Genomic DNA, 15,843 nt, shown 5'->3' with positions numbered 1-15,843 from the left:
GTAATCCCAGTTACTTGGGTGGCTGAGGCAGAAGAATCGCTTGAACCCGGGAGGCGGAGGTTGCAGTGACTCAGGATCGCGCCACTGCACTCCAGCCTAGGCGACAGAGCGAGACTCCGTCTCAAAAAAAAAAAAAAATAAGAAGAACAGTAAATCATCAAAAAAATAAACCCAATGACAACCACAGAAAGAGCCTTGCAAGCCCTCTTGGGAGGAATGACTGGGAGAACACCAGGTACCCGCCCTGATGAAGACGCCGCAGCAACTACAGTCTTCCCCGATTGGCAGCAGCCCGAGTTGGGGGGTGGGGGGGGGTGGGACTTTGTGCATCACTTCCGGGGGCGGGGCAGCGGTCGTCTCCGCACGCGCGGGAGCGGTCGGTATCCATGGCAACCAGCGGGGCCAGCCTAAGGCCCGCCCGCCACCGCCACCGCGCCGGCCCCGCCCGCACAAAGGCCGCGCGGTGACCCGCCCTCTGCCGCGACCCCGGCCCCGCCCCTGCCCCGGCCCCGGCCTGGCCCGGTCCCTGCACCTGCCGGAGGCCGCCCGCCGCCATCGCCAGCGCCGTCGCTTGGCTGCGCTGACCGGGAAGCAGTTCTCGGCGGTCCGCGCGGTGATTCATCGGCCTGGCCGCGTCCCCCGCGCGGGCCATCTTGGTCACGGCCGGCGGCGGACAGAGCCGCGGAGGAACCGCGAGACCCCAGGTACGCGTGCCCCCGGCCCCCTGCCCGGCCGGGCCCCGCCACTGTGGTGGCCCCCAGGCCCGCGGCCGCCAAGGAGCAGCCCCCTTTGTTCTCCCCCGGGCGGGCGCGGGGCGGGCGCCGCGGGGCTTTGTGCAGCCTCGCCACCCACGCGCGGGCCCTCCACGCCGCCCCTCACCCTCCTGCCCGCTAGTCGCAACTGAAACCTTGAAAACATCTTTTCTTAATCCTCCAGGGCCCAGAGCAGGTCCAGCCACCCGTCTGGCTCCGTAGTCCGCGAAGTCTGCAGTAAAGGAGCCGCGTGGGACCGGGGCCGAAGTCCCTAGGGCCTGGCACCGCGTGCCCCTCTCTCGGGCCCTCGGCTTGGGGGTCTCGCAGCGCCCTGCCGTCGTGCACCCCACACTGCCCCCATTTCTACAGGGGCCCACCTGGTCACCACACCCTCTTGGTCCACCCGCGGATCTCAGCGTGTGGCTGACCTCTGGCCAGCATGGTGCAGCCGCAGACGTCCAAAGCTGAAAGCCCAGCCTTGGCAGCGTCTCCGAATGCCCAGATGGATGACGTTATTGACACCCTGACCTCCCTGCGCCTCACCAACTCGGCGCTGAGGCGGGAGGCTTCCACCCTGCGGGCGGAGAAGGCCAATCTCACCAACATGCTGGAGAGCGTGATGGCAGAGCTGACCTTGTTACGCACCAGGGCGCGGATCCCGGGGGCTCTGCAGATCACCCCGCCCATCTCCTCAATTACTTCAAACGGGACTCGACCCATGACCACACCTCCAACCTCTCTGCCCGAGCCCTTTTCCGGGGACCCAGGCCGGTTGGCGGGGTTCCTGATGCAGATGGACAGATTCATGATCTTCCAGGCCTCCCGCTTCCCGGGTGAGGCCGAGCGTGTGGCCTTCCTTGTGTCTCGACTGACTGGGGAGGCGGAGAAGTGGGCTATCCCCCACATGCAACCTGACAGCCCCTTGCGCAACAACTATCAGGGGTTCCTGGCAGAGTTGCGGAGAACCTACAAGTCTCCGCTCCGGCATGCGCGGCGCGCCCAAATCAGGAAGACTTCTGCCTCTAATAGGGCTGTGCGAGAGAGGCAGATGCTCTGCCGCCAGCTGGCCTCTGCGGGCACGGGGCCTTGCCCAGTGCATCCAGCTTCCAACGGGACTAGTCCAGCGCCAGCCCTGCCTGCCCGAGCACGGAATCTTTAAGAATCCGCCAGCACTTGGTAGCGTCTGCAGCCACCCAGGTAGCATACGCTCTTTGCTGTGTAGAAGAAATGCCCATACGACAGCTTTGCCCCTGTTTGAAGACCTCCCTTCTTGCCTCTCCAGACGTGTTCCCCGAGGAGATCTTCCTTCCGTCCTTCCTGGCGCCCTGGTTGCCCACCTTGCCGTGCTTCCTCTTACGTGCTAGCTTTGTACCTATCGCTCACTGCATGCTCGCCTCCCTCTTGCTGGCATCCCGGCCTGTTTCAATGACTACCGCTCTGCTACTTAGGCACAGGGACTCCGCCGCACGCTGACGGACCACGAGGGCTGACCCCTTCCAGCCTGACTTGGTTCATGGAGGCTCCTACTCTGCCCTCTCCAAGCTCCCCTGGCGGCTCCCCACCTGGTTGCCCAGTTCCTATTGATGAGCTCTGGACAGAAAGATGCCCGTTTGGCCAGGCTGGTGGCTTGATGGGTGTACCTGGAGAGGGGGTCTGGCTTCCTGCCCAAGATGCCTCCCAGCCCTGCCAGGGCCCGGTGCAGCGGGCAGGGCCTCATCTGTGCTGTAGTGGTCGAGTGGTTGCTGCAAGGAGCGTAGTTCTGCCATGTCTGGGGGCCAGGTTCCACTCTGCACATGAATATGCAGTCTGGGAGGCCCCACTGCTCTCACTGGGAAGGACCAATGTTGCACCTCTGTTAATGCCTGACTTCAGCTGCTGGTGTTCTGATGGAGCCAGAGGCTTGGGGAATCTGGAACTTGCCTGCTAAATAAGGTCGTGGTGGACTCTCAGCCATTGGGCAGGTCTATCAGGCTGCAGGTTCCTACACACCCACGCCTGAGGGTCATAGCAGGCTAAGGGTGGATACCAGCGACTCCCTTTGCTGCCCAGGATCTCCATGGGCAGTGCCACAGCGGCTGATGCTCAGTCACTCCTGCTTCTACCCCCTGTCACTGATGGCGAGCCTTGCCCAGCTTGAGACCTGTTCCCATCTCTATTCAGGTGCCATGTGGCCTTCACTGCAGCCCTGCAGCCACCCACGCACCATCTGTGGGTCTCCAAAGGCACCTTGTAGCATGTACTCCCCGTGCCTGGGCAATCAGATGGGCTGCCTTTGTCCAAGGGAAAACAGACTCCCTTCGGGAAACATCCTTAAGCACTTAAGGCCGGGGGGGGTGTCTGCCTCTGGCAACCCAGCCAGGGTCTTGGTGGCATTTGTAAAAGCAAAGAGCTGTGGACTGCCGTGGTCCTAGTGTGGTGACAATGCAGCACTGGCATGCATGTCCTCCTTCTGAAGGACCTCATCCTTCCTCACAGGGGGATGACCAAGAAATCATTTTGTGGCTGAGTTTGGCCACGCCCTTTGGACTGTGCTGTTCCGCCATATTTCAATGCCAAATGAACCACATTGACATGACCTGGACCATAGGGCTTCCTATCCTGGGCTCAGCTGCCCCTGTCTGAAGGGTCTTGGCTTGATTGCAGAAGGACAACCTCCGCACCCACCTAAAGACATGTATATGTCTTGGGATCCCAGAGATTGGGTCCTTGGGCCTGGCTTCTTAAGAGTTTTGATGATGCTGGGAAAAGTGACTGCGATTCTGAAGAACCGCTGCCTTGCAAGGTCAAGGACATTCAGTGGTTGCTGGGGTCCGCAGACTACTGCCACCCACTCACCATCAACTCTGTTAGCCCAATTGCCCTGCTGAACAACTGCCTGAATACAGGCTTTAGGTTCCCCTGGACTCCAGCCAAGGCTGTTCAGGTGGGACCATGGTGCTCTTTAAGCGTGATCGGAGGGAAGACACACAGCAGGGCCACCATTCCATGAATGGGAGGTGTACAGATCACTTTCTCTTTGTGCTCAGTTCTGTTCTGTCTCCAGCAGCTATATTGGTAAGACTAGTACCTGCCAGGGAGAGGTGCCCCCAAGTGAAGGGGTACAGTGGCACCTGGGAAAAGGCACCTGGAAGGTTTCCATGTGGCCCAGCCCAGCATGGAAGCAGGGTGGGAACTCTGCTGTGTCGCCAGCGCTCACTCTACTCGAGTGGCTTTTTGAAAGCCCTACCATGTCTGTGTCAGGCCTGTGCTGCTTCACATCCTACAGCTGCCTAGGAAAGGCCGGCCACGCTCCCTGTCCACACACTCCCTGTCCACACACTCCCTGTCCACACACTCCCTGTCCACAACTGCAGCCGGGCCCTCTGCCTATGGGCACCCAATCCAAGCAGCTGCTCCACCTTTGTTTGGCATGGTGATTTGTGTTTTTTCTCTTGGTGCTTATGTGTGTGGGCTTGGGACGAGTGCTGGTATGCACTTAGGACCTTCTTGATAGCTCCCTGCACTTTGGAACACGGAGCAGATGAGAGAGGGTCGGGGCTTGCCCTCCACCTTGGACTTGGAAGAAGCCCACATTGGAGAGGTGAGGACCCCATGGTGGCTCTAGTGGAAGATACGTTAGTCTCCAGCTAAGGAGGATGAGGCGCAGCCCCAGAGGGAGACCTCAGTGATAGGGGATCAGGCTAAGAAAGTGGGGGAAGGGAGATGCTTTGTACATATTTTGGGGTTATAATTTCTCTAAATTTTAGGAGAACGGGTATTGATTGATAAAAGGGACAGGCAGTAGTGTTCAACAGTGCATGTGAAGGAAAGTTCTGTTTTCCATGGTTTTGACATTCTTTGGACTGTATTGTGACTGCTGTCTGGTCCACATGGTACCCCTTTGGTAAGTAGGCTTCAGTGCATACCAGGGTATCACTGGAGATGGGAGTTAGTGAAGGGGTGACTCCCTGGCCTAGTATAGTGTGACCCTGGGACTAACTTAATGTCCTAAAGCATTTTGGTGACTTCTAGGGAATAGCAAAGACCTATTTCATTGTCCCCAGGTAAGTATGTGATGAGCAATGAGGAGGAGTGGAAAACAAAACCCAGAAAGTGCGGCAGGACCAGCCTGACGCACACGCTCCTGTTGTCATGGCAGACAGCCGCCTTGGGTGGGCACCACCCTGGCAGTTCCAGCCTGTAGGGGAGTGAAGGGACATGGCTGAGCTGGGCATGTGCTGAGGTTGACTTAGGGAACAAGCCCTGGGATTGGACAAAAGGGCCCATGCTGCAGCCACTGACTGGGGGCAGAGCTCTGGGTGGAAGAGGGAAGAGATCCTAATGGAGGCGCCTCCATCTGCAACCACAGTTGTAAGGCTCATGGCACCTCTGCTTGGAAAGCACTGGTTTAGGGACTTAGAGAGGTAGGCACAAGGTGGGTCTCCTGGGTAAGGGAAGCAAGAGCAGACTGTTGGGCCAACAGGAGAAGCTCCCCAGAGTAGGGGAGAAGGTTGGGGTGTAGGGCCTTCCACGTGGAACAGACAGCCCCTGTGTCTCTGTCTCTTGGGGACCTGAGTTTGGGTGGGGTGGCAGTTGGCACAGCGCAGATGCGGTAGAGATGGGAGGAAACCCAGCTCCTCACTTCCGTGTGCCTCATGCCTTTGCATACACAAGCACCAAACCTACTAGGTCTTCTCATTACCCATGTAAACCACATGTTAGATAAATTTTTGCAAGTAGAGGAAAGAAGGAAATAAAACATCACATTTTGGTGTCTCTCAGGCTTTCCCCCCCAACTATGGTTTCTTTGCTTTTTGTTTTAACATAGTTTTGTTGCTGTCTTCTGTAATGATACAGTTTTGTGCAGCTGTTTTCACTTAGCATATCGTGGGCATCTCCCCTTATGATTACTAAATATTTTATTTTGGAGTGGCTGTGTACTCTCCCATTGACTAGATGGACCATTGTGCCAGTTGCCAATCACTAATGCTGTTACTAACTTTTCAGTTATAAATTGATGAATATCTTTGTGCACAGGCTGTTTCCCAATGTCAAGTTATTAGGGTAGACTCCAGGAGGTGGGATTCTTCAACTAAAGAATATGAAAACCTTTGAGGCTTTTACTACATATTGACAAAATGGTTTCCGGAAATATTTGTATCCCCTTACACTGCCACCAGCAAGGATAAACATGTCCATCTTGCCCGTATTGGGAATTATCATCTGGCTAAATATTTGCTAATTTGATAATGAAAAAATAGCATCGTGTTTCAGTTGGCATTTCACTGACTTCTAGCACGGTTGAACATCTTTCATGTGGAGCGATTGTATTTCCTCCTTTGTGGATTGTCAGTGTCCTTTGCTCTATCTTCTGGGGTCAGATAAATTTGTATGAGCTCGGTATATATTAAAGATATTAACCTGGTGTGTGTCATATTTGCTACAGCTGTTTCTGGGTTTTTGTGTGTTTTATCTTATTGGAATTTTGACATACATAGTCGATCTGTCTCCACAGCACTGTGTCTGCTAGACAAGAACACAAGGCAGGCAGGTGGATTTTGTCTGTTTTGTTCATGGCCGTAGCACTAGCACCTATGACAATGCCTGGCACGTGATAGGTACTCAGTACACTTCTGTTGAATTAGTTACTCCAGTGGATCTGCAACGCCTTGGGATCCACGGCACGTGATAAGCACTCAGTACACGTTTGTTGAGTTAGTTACTCTGATGGATCTGCAACACATTGGGATCCACACATGGATCCAGCAGTCCGCGCTCCAGCTCACAGGCCGAGGCTCTCACACTCCAGAGCTCGCAGGCCGAGGCTCTCACACTCCAGAGCTCGCAGGCCGAGGCTCTCACACATTTTGTCTCAGGGTCCCCTTGCACTATAAGAACTCATTGAGGGCCTCAAACAGCTTTTGCTTATATAGGTTTTCTCTATCAATATTTACCATATTATACATTTAAACAGAATTTTAAAATAATTATTTGGAAAATAAAAACACTGTTAAACAACATTTTAAATAAAAAAAACTATATTTTCCAAAACAAAACGCTTGTGAGGAGAGGCATTGACGAAGACATTTTTGCAAATGCCTGTAATGTCTGGCTGAATGGAAGACAGTGGGAGCCTCCTACCTGCTGTGCTTAACCTGCAAGAGCACATGCCATGGTGCCTCTGAAAGCCCCACTGCGCCCATGAGATGACGCGGAAAAGGCACATGATATTTTGGGATTATTATGAAAACAATTTTGTGGACCCCCGAAAGCGTCTTGCCCCTCTTTGAGAACTGCTGGCCTAAAGAGAGACAAGGATTGGCAGTTTGGAGAACATCACCAACTGTTCCATCGCTTTAAACTTCAGGTCTTTCTTCCCCCTCTAGATTAATACACAGTTATTTCTGGGATTAATTTGGCATGTAATGTGAGAGGAGGCTCTAAATAGACTGTCTTTCAAAGATTTAAATACCCTGAGTCCAGTTATTAATAAGTATTTCTCTCCCTTGGTCACGTGTGTTCTTTCCTTCACACGCAGGGAAATCTTATCTACCGTAGGACCAACTTTCCCACTGTTTATTCAGTTGATCCATTTGTCTTGCCCAGTACTTCCCTATTTTAGCTGACTTGGGTTTTATAATTTTTTTTTTTTTTTTTTTTTCTGAGACGGAGTCTCTGTCGCCCAGGCTGGAGTCCAGTGGTATGATCTCGGCTCACTGCAACTTCTGCCTCCTGGGTTCAAGCGATTCTCCTGCCTCAGGCCCCCGAGTAGCTGGGATTACAGGCACCAGTCATCACTCCTAGTTAATTTTTTTTTTTTTTTTTGTATTTTTAGTAGAGACAGGGTTTTGCCATGTTGGCCAGGCTGGTCTCAAACTCCTGACCTCAGGTGATCCACCCGCCTCAGACTCCCAAAGTGCTGGGATTATAGGCATGAGCCACTATGCCTGGCCAGGTTTTATAATTTCTATTCACATATAGTAGGACTCTCCCCCTTCAGATTTTCTTAGCTGTTGTTACTAGATGAACTTGAAAACATTCTATGGTTTCCCCAAAACCCTGGTAACAGGTGAGGGCCTGGAGAGGCATAAGCACTTTGGGGAGCTGTGTGCAGGGTGCAGCGTGGGGGGCTCTGTGTAGGGGCTCTGTGGTTGTGGGCTGCAGAGTAGAAGGGAAGGCTCTCCTTCCACCCTGCAGAAAGCCTTGCCCTGAGGTTTCCCCCATGTGCTGCTCTGTGACGGGTGGCTCGTTTGGGAATGGGAGTGAAAATCAGGGTGCCCTCTGGCTAGCCTGTTGTCTAGTCAGTGTCTTCTTCTATGGAAAGGCCTGGAGTGTACATAGTGCCCTCCTGCCTGTCCCCACGTGGCTGATCCGAGAGGTTTACAAAGACTGGCCTTGCAAGGACTCTGCCTGACAGGGAGATCTAGGGCTGAGCCCCCTCCCCATCCCACTGTCTGGCCCCTTCGAGGCAAGAGAACAGATTATGGGTTGGAGCTGGGCCTCTACTCTCTGGCTCTGTGACACTTGCTCTCACTTTGTGCTCCCATGGGCCCAGCCTGGTGAAATTCCATCCTGTTGCCCTGGAGATTTTCTGGGGAGCCTCCCCTTCTCTATCCAGGGCATCCCCAGCTTAGCGTCTGGGCATCTTCCTTGACTTACTCCTCTCTCCTGCACCTGCTCCAGTGCCTGGACCTCGTGGTCCTCAGCGACTGTCAGGTCAGCCGGGCTCTCTGTCCCCACTACCACTGCCCGCTGCAGGTCTGGGCAGCCAGCCTCGCTAACCGCCTCCTTTCTCCTGCTCTTATCGTTCTGTTAAGAAGGATCCAGTGTTACTCCACTTAGGACACTCCCTGAGCAACCAGGCTGTGCTCCTGCCCTGACACCCTCAGGCTCACACCTAGTAAGTGATAGACTTATGCCTTACTGAGCCTATCTGTCTCCCCCAACCGACTGTGCTCCCAGAGGGCAGGGCTGCTGTGTGAGTCACCTGCGTCCGTAGCACCTCACCCAGAGCCTGGCGGAGAAGCGACCAGGTGTCTGTTTAGCGGTTGAGCAGAAGGACCACACATCAGAGCACAGCCGGAGTCTCGGGTCCACGTCACGCCAACCAGTCACATCGCAGCTGGCCACCAAGCTGAGCCAGAAACCCCAGCCAGCCGCACTCCTGTGTTGTCCTGTTTACTTTCCTTTCTTACAGAATGGGACAATATTCTACATGCTTAATATGTGATGAGAACTTGCCAAGGTCATGACATGGTCTTTGAAAATAGGATTTGTAAGTAAATATCCCATCTCTGGACTGGCCATGCTTCACCCAAATGATCCCTTTCCTTTAGAAATGTGTTGACAATTTTCGTCATAGTGAACAATGCTGTGAGAAGCATCCTAGTCACTAAACGATTCCTTGGGCGTAGTTTTCTGTTGTCGATATGATCCTATGGCGAGTCTCACAGGCTTCCTTCATAGTTACTAAGAGATCGTTGCTGATACGTACGAAAGATTAATGCTGTGTTTTTATTTGGCTGCTTCGCTGAACGTGTAGTCGTTTGAGGGATGTTTCAGTTGATTCCACGGACTGACTGGGTTTCCACCAGAATCAGCAGAGTTTCCAATTAACTGCGATCATCTGCCCTTGCCATGGATGCCTTGGGCCGTCTGGGTTTCCTTCCAAGACTAAAGGGTCTGCTCCCCTGCTGCTGGGAGTGCTGGCTGCGAGAGCGGTCAGCTGGGGTCCCTTCTGAACCTTGCCCTCGAGCAAAGGTGCCACCTCACCCGAGGCCATGTGAGCCTCTTTTCTGTGGCAATGCTCACCCCGGGCCTGGGGGACGCGGGACTACCGTGCAGGGTCAGCCGGCTCCAGAGCTCTCCGTGGGACTCACAGAGACTGCAGACATCCCCAGTGCCAGTCCTTGGCCTCACGTCCCACAGGTGTCCATCCTGAGAGCATTTTCCATAGCCTTCCCACAGGCAGATCTCCAGGGAAGGTTACTGGTAACAATTCTTTCCTTCCTTCCTTCCTTCCTTCCTTCCTTCCTTCCTTCCTTCCTCCCTCCCTCCCTCCCTCCCTCCCTCCCTCCCCTTTCTCCCCTGCCCTCCTCTTCTCTCCTTTCCCCTCCCCTCCTCTCCCCTCCTTTCCCCTCCCCTCCTCTCCCCTCCTCTCCTCTCCTTTCCCCTCCCCTCCTCTCCTCTCCCCTCCCCTCCTCTTCCCTCCCCTTTCCTCCTTTCCTTTCCTTTCCCCTTTCCTTTTCCTTTTCCTTTTCCTTTCCCTTTTCAAAAATTTTTTGTAGAGATGGACTCTTACTATGTTGTCCAGGCTGGTCTGGAATTCCTGGGCTCAAACAATCCACCTGCCTCAGGCTCCTAAGGTGCTGGAATTACAGGTGTGAGCTGCTGTGCCCAGCTGTTTCCTTATTTAGACTGTCGCCTGTACCTCCTCTTAGGTCACTTGTGGAACTTCCCCAGCACTGCTGTTGCCGGGACTGATGGGTGACACCCTCGTCCTGCTCCCAGCACTAACAGAAAGCAGACTCGATGGGCTCCATGGGTGTTCCCTCTGTGGTCGACTGTGCTACTTGCTGATGAGTCTATCTCAGTTCATCCTCATAACAGCCCCACTTGACAGATGAGAAAATCGGCTTGGAGTGCTGAAGACAATTTTCTAGGTCAAGATTGAGTTTATACAGAAACCTCCCTCTTCAAGTCCATGCACTCGAAGTGAAAACATCAATAACACCACACACACAGACACACACAAGAGCTGTATGAATGGAGCATTTGAAAATAATGAAAGGACATTTCTATGGACCAGAAGTGAAAACATCTCCCCGAAACTAAAATGCAAGCGATAACTGGGAACCACGTGCCGTCTGCCCATGGGTGGGGGCTGGAAATCTTGCCAGGATTTGTGGCCAGAAAATGGTCCCCCATGGCCAGGGACAGAAGCTAGTCATTGACATGAGTCCAGGGTGCATCCTGCATGGCACGAGTGGTGTGCACAGTGCTCTGAAGACAGAGCTTCTTCACCCTGTGTGCCCTGGAGGACCAGGGTGGATACAACCAGGGAACCACAACACATAGACACACAGACCCCAGTCCAGGAAGGAGAGATGCCCTGCAGGAGACAGCTGCAGAAACAAACAAAGCACGTAGGACAAAATAGCATTGCGACAGTCACCAGACCACATAGAGGAAGATTCTTGCAGTAGCATAATCTTGGCTCACTGCAACCTCCGCCTCCTGGGTTCAAGCAATTCTCCTGTCTCAGCCTCCTGTGTAGCTGGGACTACAGGTGCGTGCCACCACACCCAGCTAGTCTTTGTATTTTTAGTAGACACGGGGTTTCTCCATGTTGGCCAGGCTCGTCTCAAACTCCTGATCTCAGGTGATCTGCCCGCCTGGGCCTCCTAAAGTGCTGGGATTACAGGCATGAGCCACCACGCCTGGCCCAAGGTACTATTTTCAATGATGTCACCTGCAGTGGACTGAATCTTTGTATCCCCTCAATATTTGTGTGTTGAAATCCTAGCCTCCAATGGGATGGCCTTAGGAGGTGGGCCTTTGGGAGGCAGTGAGGTCATGCGGGTAGCACCCTCACGAATAGATACAGCAAGAGGACAATTGGTCATCGGCCTGCAACCTGGAAGCAGGTCTCACCAGACACTGAATCTGTCATCACCTTGATCTTGAACCTCCCAGCCTTCAGGACTGTGAGAAGTAAATGTTTGTGGCTCAAGCCACCCAGTCTGTGGTACCTTGTTATAGCAGCCCAAACGAAGAAACCATCACATCCTGAAATCTCAATTTTTTTTTTTTTTTTTGAGACAGAGTCTTACTCTGTCTCCCAGGCTGGAGTGCAATGGCACAATCTTGGCTCACTGCAACCTCCGCCTCCCGGATTCAAGTGGTTCTCCTGGCTTTGCCTCCCAAGTAGCTGGGATTACAGGTGCCTGCCACCGCGCCCAGCTAATTTTTGTATTTTTAGTAGAGACAGGGTTTCGCCATGTTGGCCAGGCTGGTCTTAAACTCTTGACCTCAGATGATCCACCTGCCTCGGCCTCCCAAAGTGTTGGGATTACAGGCATGAGCCACCATGCCTGGCCTGAAATCTCAGTATTTTTATAAATTGTAAAGTTATTTTCCGTATCTCTTGGACATAATGGTATTTTTGTGACTGTGATATTTTGTCATTTTATTTTCTTCTCTCACAGCGTCAGTGGAGGTCAGCAGGAGGTCCCTGCAGGCTTGCACTGCCCTGCTGGTTATCACTGCTGGTGACTCATGCAGCCAGCCTGCTGATGCCCTGAGCTGGCCTGTTCAGCTTGGTGTCCAGAGGGCTCTGCTGTGGGCCCGGGGGGAGGGAACCACGCACCTTCCTCTGTGGAACTGTGGCTGCTTTCCCCCTTCCTCATCCTGTTCTTCATCTGCCCCAGCCTGTGAAGGGAACTCCTCGTGCCTGGGCAGGCTTATGGGTGCCGGGAGGCTGGGGAGCTGGCTCACGCTCTGAGTGGGCTTCCCTGGCCAGTCCTGTGCCCCATCACCAGCCTCGCTCTGTGGTCTTTGCCCTGGTGCACTGGGCGGTACCACTTCACCACGTCTTTCAGTGGTCCTTCCGTGTGTTCCAAAGCTTCTGGATTTCAAATGTTGCTGTGCTCACAGAAACCTGATGGTTTACACACCAAGCAATACCACCACCACCACCGCCACCACCACAACAACAAAATAATGAGTAGAAACTGCCAACTCCCTCAGATCAGGTCACAGCATTTTCAAAAACAGCAGAACCCATGTGACTTACCTGTGGCTCTCCGAGAGCTGTCTTCGTCACAGGACACCTGCCAAAGCCTCCGCCCACCTTTCAAGAAAAGCGATGTGTTTTCTAGTTATACACATATAGCAGGATATTGAACTGGGCTTTTTCTGTTGGCCCCAGATGATAACGAAGCCCCGAAGCTGAGAATGCAATGCAGTAAACAGGCTGTATTCTGAACCTGGAGAGCTGCCCACGGACCATCAGCTACCACACTTGAAGGGAATTCCTAGACCTGCCATTCTCCCAGAACCCAAATGTTGCATAGATGGGCTGGTTCTTTATTGATCTCGTTTTCTCTTCTTCCTGGGCAAAAAGCTCAATGACATCTCTCTGCCCCCTCAACGACAAGCTGCGGCTCAATGCTTAGACTAACATGCCAATGGAATGTAGGTGGGGATCCTGTCCCTCTCACTGGCTGGATTCAAGCTGATGGACAGGGTGACCTTGGAAATAGGCTGTGAAGGCAGCAGGTTCATGCAATGAGGAGGCCTGGGCCCCCAAGTTACTGGCTGGAGGAAGACTTCCAACTGCTCAGGAGCACACACTGTGGACATCCCCTGAAAGGGAAAGAAGCACCAGCTCTGGCCAGGCACGATGGCTCATGCCTGTAATCCCAGCACTTAGCGAGGCTGAAGTGGGTGGATCACTTGAGGCCAGGAGTTCGAGACCAGCCTGGCCAACATGGAGAAACCCTGTCTCTACTAAAAATACAAAAATTAGCCAGATATGGTGGCAGGTGCCTGTAATCCCACCTACTCGGGAGGCTGAGGCAGGAGAATCACCTGAACCTTGGAGGCGGACATTGCAGTGAGCCGAGATCACGCCACTGCACTTCAGCCTGGGTGACAGAGTGAGACTCCGTCTCAAAAAAAAAAAAAAATTTCAGAAACCAAAACCCCCCAAAAAACACCAGGTGTGAGTCCTTACGTGCAGAAGATGGGACTGTGGGAGTGATCTGTCCGGGGGCTACCATGGAGGCTTGGTGGTAAGTACTGTTTTCTCCTTCATAGGAGAAAGCTAGGGGAGAGTGGGCTTTGAGAACTTCATGTAGGTTGAAGGCACCTCTGAGATGGGGACAAGTGCATTCTGGTCATGTCTGGTTGGCCAGTGGACTCCCCACCTGCCTTCATCCCATGAACCATGGGTTAAGGGACTCAGAGGGAGAGGAGGTTTCTCATTCAAGGGGAGCCAGCATCAACCCCTTTAGTTTCCTTTTCCAGAATCTATGGAAGCTGGATCCCCACCCTCCAGTTGCCTGCTGCCCCAGGAAGGTGGATGAGACAGGGAACCACGGTGTTGTGGGATCCCCATGGTGGGGAGCACACAAGAATTCATGCATCAGAGCACTGCGGTGTGACCACCACCAGCCAGGGCCAGCCAGGAGAGGAGGCCAGGTGAAATCATGGACCAGAGCCACCTGGGAGGGCCCAGGTGGGAGCCGACATCTTCTCATGCTCAGCGGTGGATGGGAAAGTGGGAGAGGCCACCACCCTGCCAGGGCCCTCTCCCTGCGCCCTCTCTGAGCCATCCCAACACGTGAATAAACACAGCCTGGTGAGGCAAACAGTTTCGTTGAGTCCAGAGGGGCCCTTTCCCGCTCCTCCAAGCCGCAAGAGCCACAGAGAACTCTGGCCACAAGTCTTGAATTGTGTTTGAGCTGAACATTCTTTAGAAATAGACAGGGCTTAGTCTTAAACACCAAGAGGCTGTTCTAAAGACGAAAATGAAAAGAAAACCAGCTGGGCGCGGTGGCTCACCCCTGTAATCCCAGCACTTTGGGAGGCCGAGGCGGGCGGATCACGAGGTCAGGAGATCGAGACCATCCTGGCTAACACGGTGAAACCCTGTCTCTACTAAAAAATACAAAAAAAATTAGCTGGGCGTGGTGGCGGGCGCCTGTAGTCCCAGCTACTGGGGAGGCTGAGGCAGGAGAATGGCTGGAACCCGGGAGGTGGAGCTTGCAGTGAGCAGAGATCACGCCACTGCACTCCAGCCTGGGAGACAGAGCGAGACTCCTTTTCAACAAAAAAAAAAAAAAAAAAAAAAAAAAAGAAAATGAGAAGAAAACCTTGGAATCTGGCCAAGATGTCATTAAGGGACCTCCTACCTAGCAGGAAAGAGAGCTTCAACAGATCCCATATGGATTGGAGTTGGCAAGAAATAAAATTGCGTCTATTTATAGTCTCAACAAGTTGAGGTTCCTCAATAAACTCGTTACACATAATTCACTTAAATTATGAAAATCACAAACAACAAAGCTATTAAATAGGAAAAGAAGAGAAGACACTGGTGCCGTCAGTGCTGAGGGAGCTTTTAGGGCATGGAGAGTGGAGTGTGAGAGCGAAGTACCCTTAGCATGCCAGCTACCCCGAGCCATCTAGAAGAAACTTTTGTATCTGAATGAGAAAAACAACTCAAATAATGCACTGCACTCCAGCCTGGGTGACAAGGGCAAGACTCTGTCTCAAACAGAAAAAAGAAAAAAAGAATTGTATCTTGTGTGGAAAGCGTGTAGATGATAAGAATGTACAGCTCTTGTCCCACTTTATTTCTCCATTTACTGGAGGCATTTATGGAAGGTACATTATAGGTCTTTGTGGGAAGAAACAGAAAGAAATCACAGAAGCAATTAAGAGAGCTCAAATAATGGGATTTATGCCAGTTACATACAAGGATCTGCATATCTCAAGGACCCTAAAGTTTGTAATATCAGATGTTGGGAATAAATTCTATCACGTTACCACCAATAAACTTATTTTACAGTTAAAAAAAATTCAGATGGGGTCTTGCTGTGTTGCCCAGGTTGATCTCAAACTCCTGGCCTTAAGCAATCCTCACACCCAGGCCTCCCGAAGTGCTGGGATTACAGGTGTGAGCCATCACGCCCAGCCTCAAATTTCATTTATTTTCTTTCTTTTTTTTTTGAGACGGAGTTTTGCTCTTGTCGCCCAAGCTAGAGTGCAATGGTGCGATCTCGGCTCACTGCAACCTCTACCTCCCGGGTTCAAGTGATTCTCCTGCCTCAGCCTCCCAAGTAGCTGGGATTACAGGTGCAAACCATCATGCTTGGCTAATTTCTGTATTTTTAGTAGAGATGGGGTTTCACCATTTTGGCCAGGCTGGTCTCAAATTCCTGACCTCAGATGATTCACCCACCTCGGCCTCTCAAAGTGCCGGGATTACAGGCATAAGCCACTGCGCCTGGCCCTCAAGTTTCTTAAGATGAAAACTATCTTTTGTTTCTATTCCCCAGAAGCTATGGATCTTTGTGGGCCTTGGGAGGATTTCCTGCCCTTCCCCCAG

The 15,843-nt window shown here is 52.7% G+C and overlaps 1 protein-coding gene and 1 pseudogene across 1 annotated transcript, besides 4 other annotated features; both read left to right on the top strand.

Annotated features, from left to right (window-relative positions):
• Positions 305-364: a silencer, noted in NCBI's record as "silent region_13868". NCBI's record gives its function as "represses an Ori minimal core promoter by ATAC-STARR-seq in GM12878 lymphoblastoid cells {active_cell/tissue: GM12878}" and the evidence as "EXISTENCE:reporter gene assay evidence [ECO:0000049][PMID:35858748]".
• Positions 455-584: a silencer, noted in NCBI's record as "silent region_13867". NCBI's record gives its function as "represses an Ori minimal core promoter by ATAC-STARR-seq in GM12878 lymphoblastoid cells {active_cell/tissue: GM12878}" and the evidence as "EXISTENCE:reporter gene assay evidence [ECO:0000049][PMID:35858748]".
• RTL6 (retrotransposon Gag like 6) lies at positions 515-6,165 on the top strand. The gene is made up of 2 exons (NM_032287.3): positions 515-704; positions 937-6,165. The coding sequence occupies exon 2, from the start codon at positions 1,192-1,194 to the stop codon at positions 1,909-1,911; it is 720 nt and encodes a 239-aa protein (NP_115663.2). The 5' UTR covers positions 515-704; positions 937-1,191; the 3' UTR covers positions 1,912-6,165.
• Positions 1,844-2,621: an enhancer, noted in NCBI's record as "H3K4me1 hESC enhancer chr22:44892007-44892784 (GRCh37/hg19 assembly coordinates)". NCBI's record gives its function as "activates a minimal SCP1, AML or CMV promoter by ChIP-STARR-seq in naive H9 embryonic stem cells {active_cell/tissue: H9 hESC(naive)}" and the evidence as "EXISTENCE:reporter gene assay evidence [ECO:0000049][PMID:30033119]".
• Positions 2,622-3,399: an enhancer, noted in NCBI's record as "H3K4me1 hESC enhancer chr22:44891229-44892006 (GRCh37/hg19 assembly coordinates)". NCBI's record gives its function as "activates a minimal SCP1, AML or CMV promoter by ChIP-STARR-seq in primed H9 embryonic stem cells {active_cell/tissue: H9 hESC(primed)}" and the evidence as "EXISTENCE:reporter gene assay evidence [ECO:0000049][PMID:30033119]".
• Positions 15,072-15,306, top strand: MRPS18CP6 (MRPS18C pseudogene 6; annotated as a pseudogene).

Source organism: Homo sapiens, chromosome 22, assembly GCF_000001405.40.
Source record: "Homo sapiens chromosome 22, GRCh38.p14 Primary Assembly".
In the NCBI taxonomy this organism is placed as follows: Eukaryota; Metazoa; Chordata; class Mammalia; order Primates; family Hominidae; genus Homo; species Homo sapiens.
This window is presented reverse-complemented; position numbering and strand designations above follow the sequence as displayed.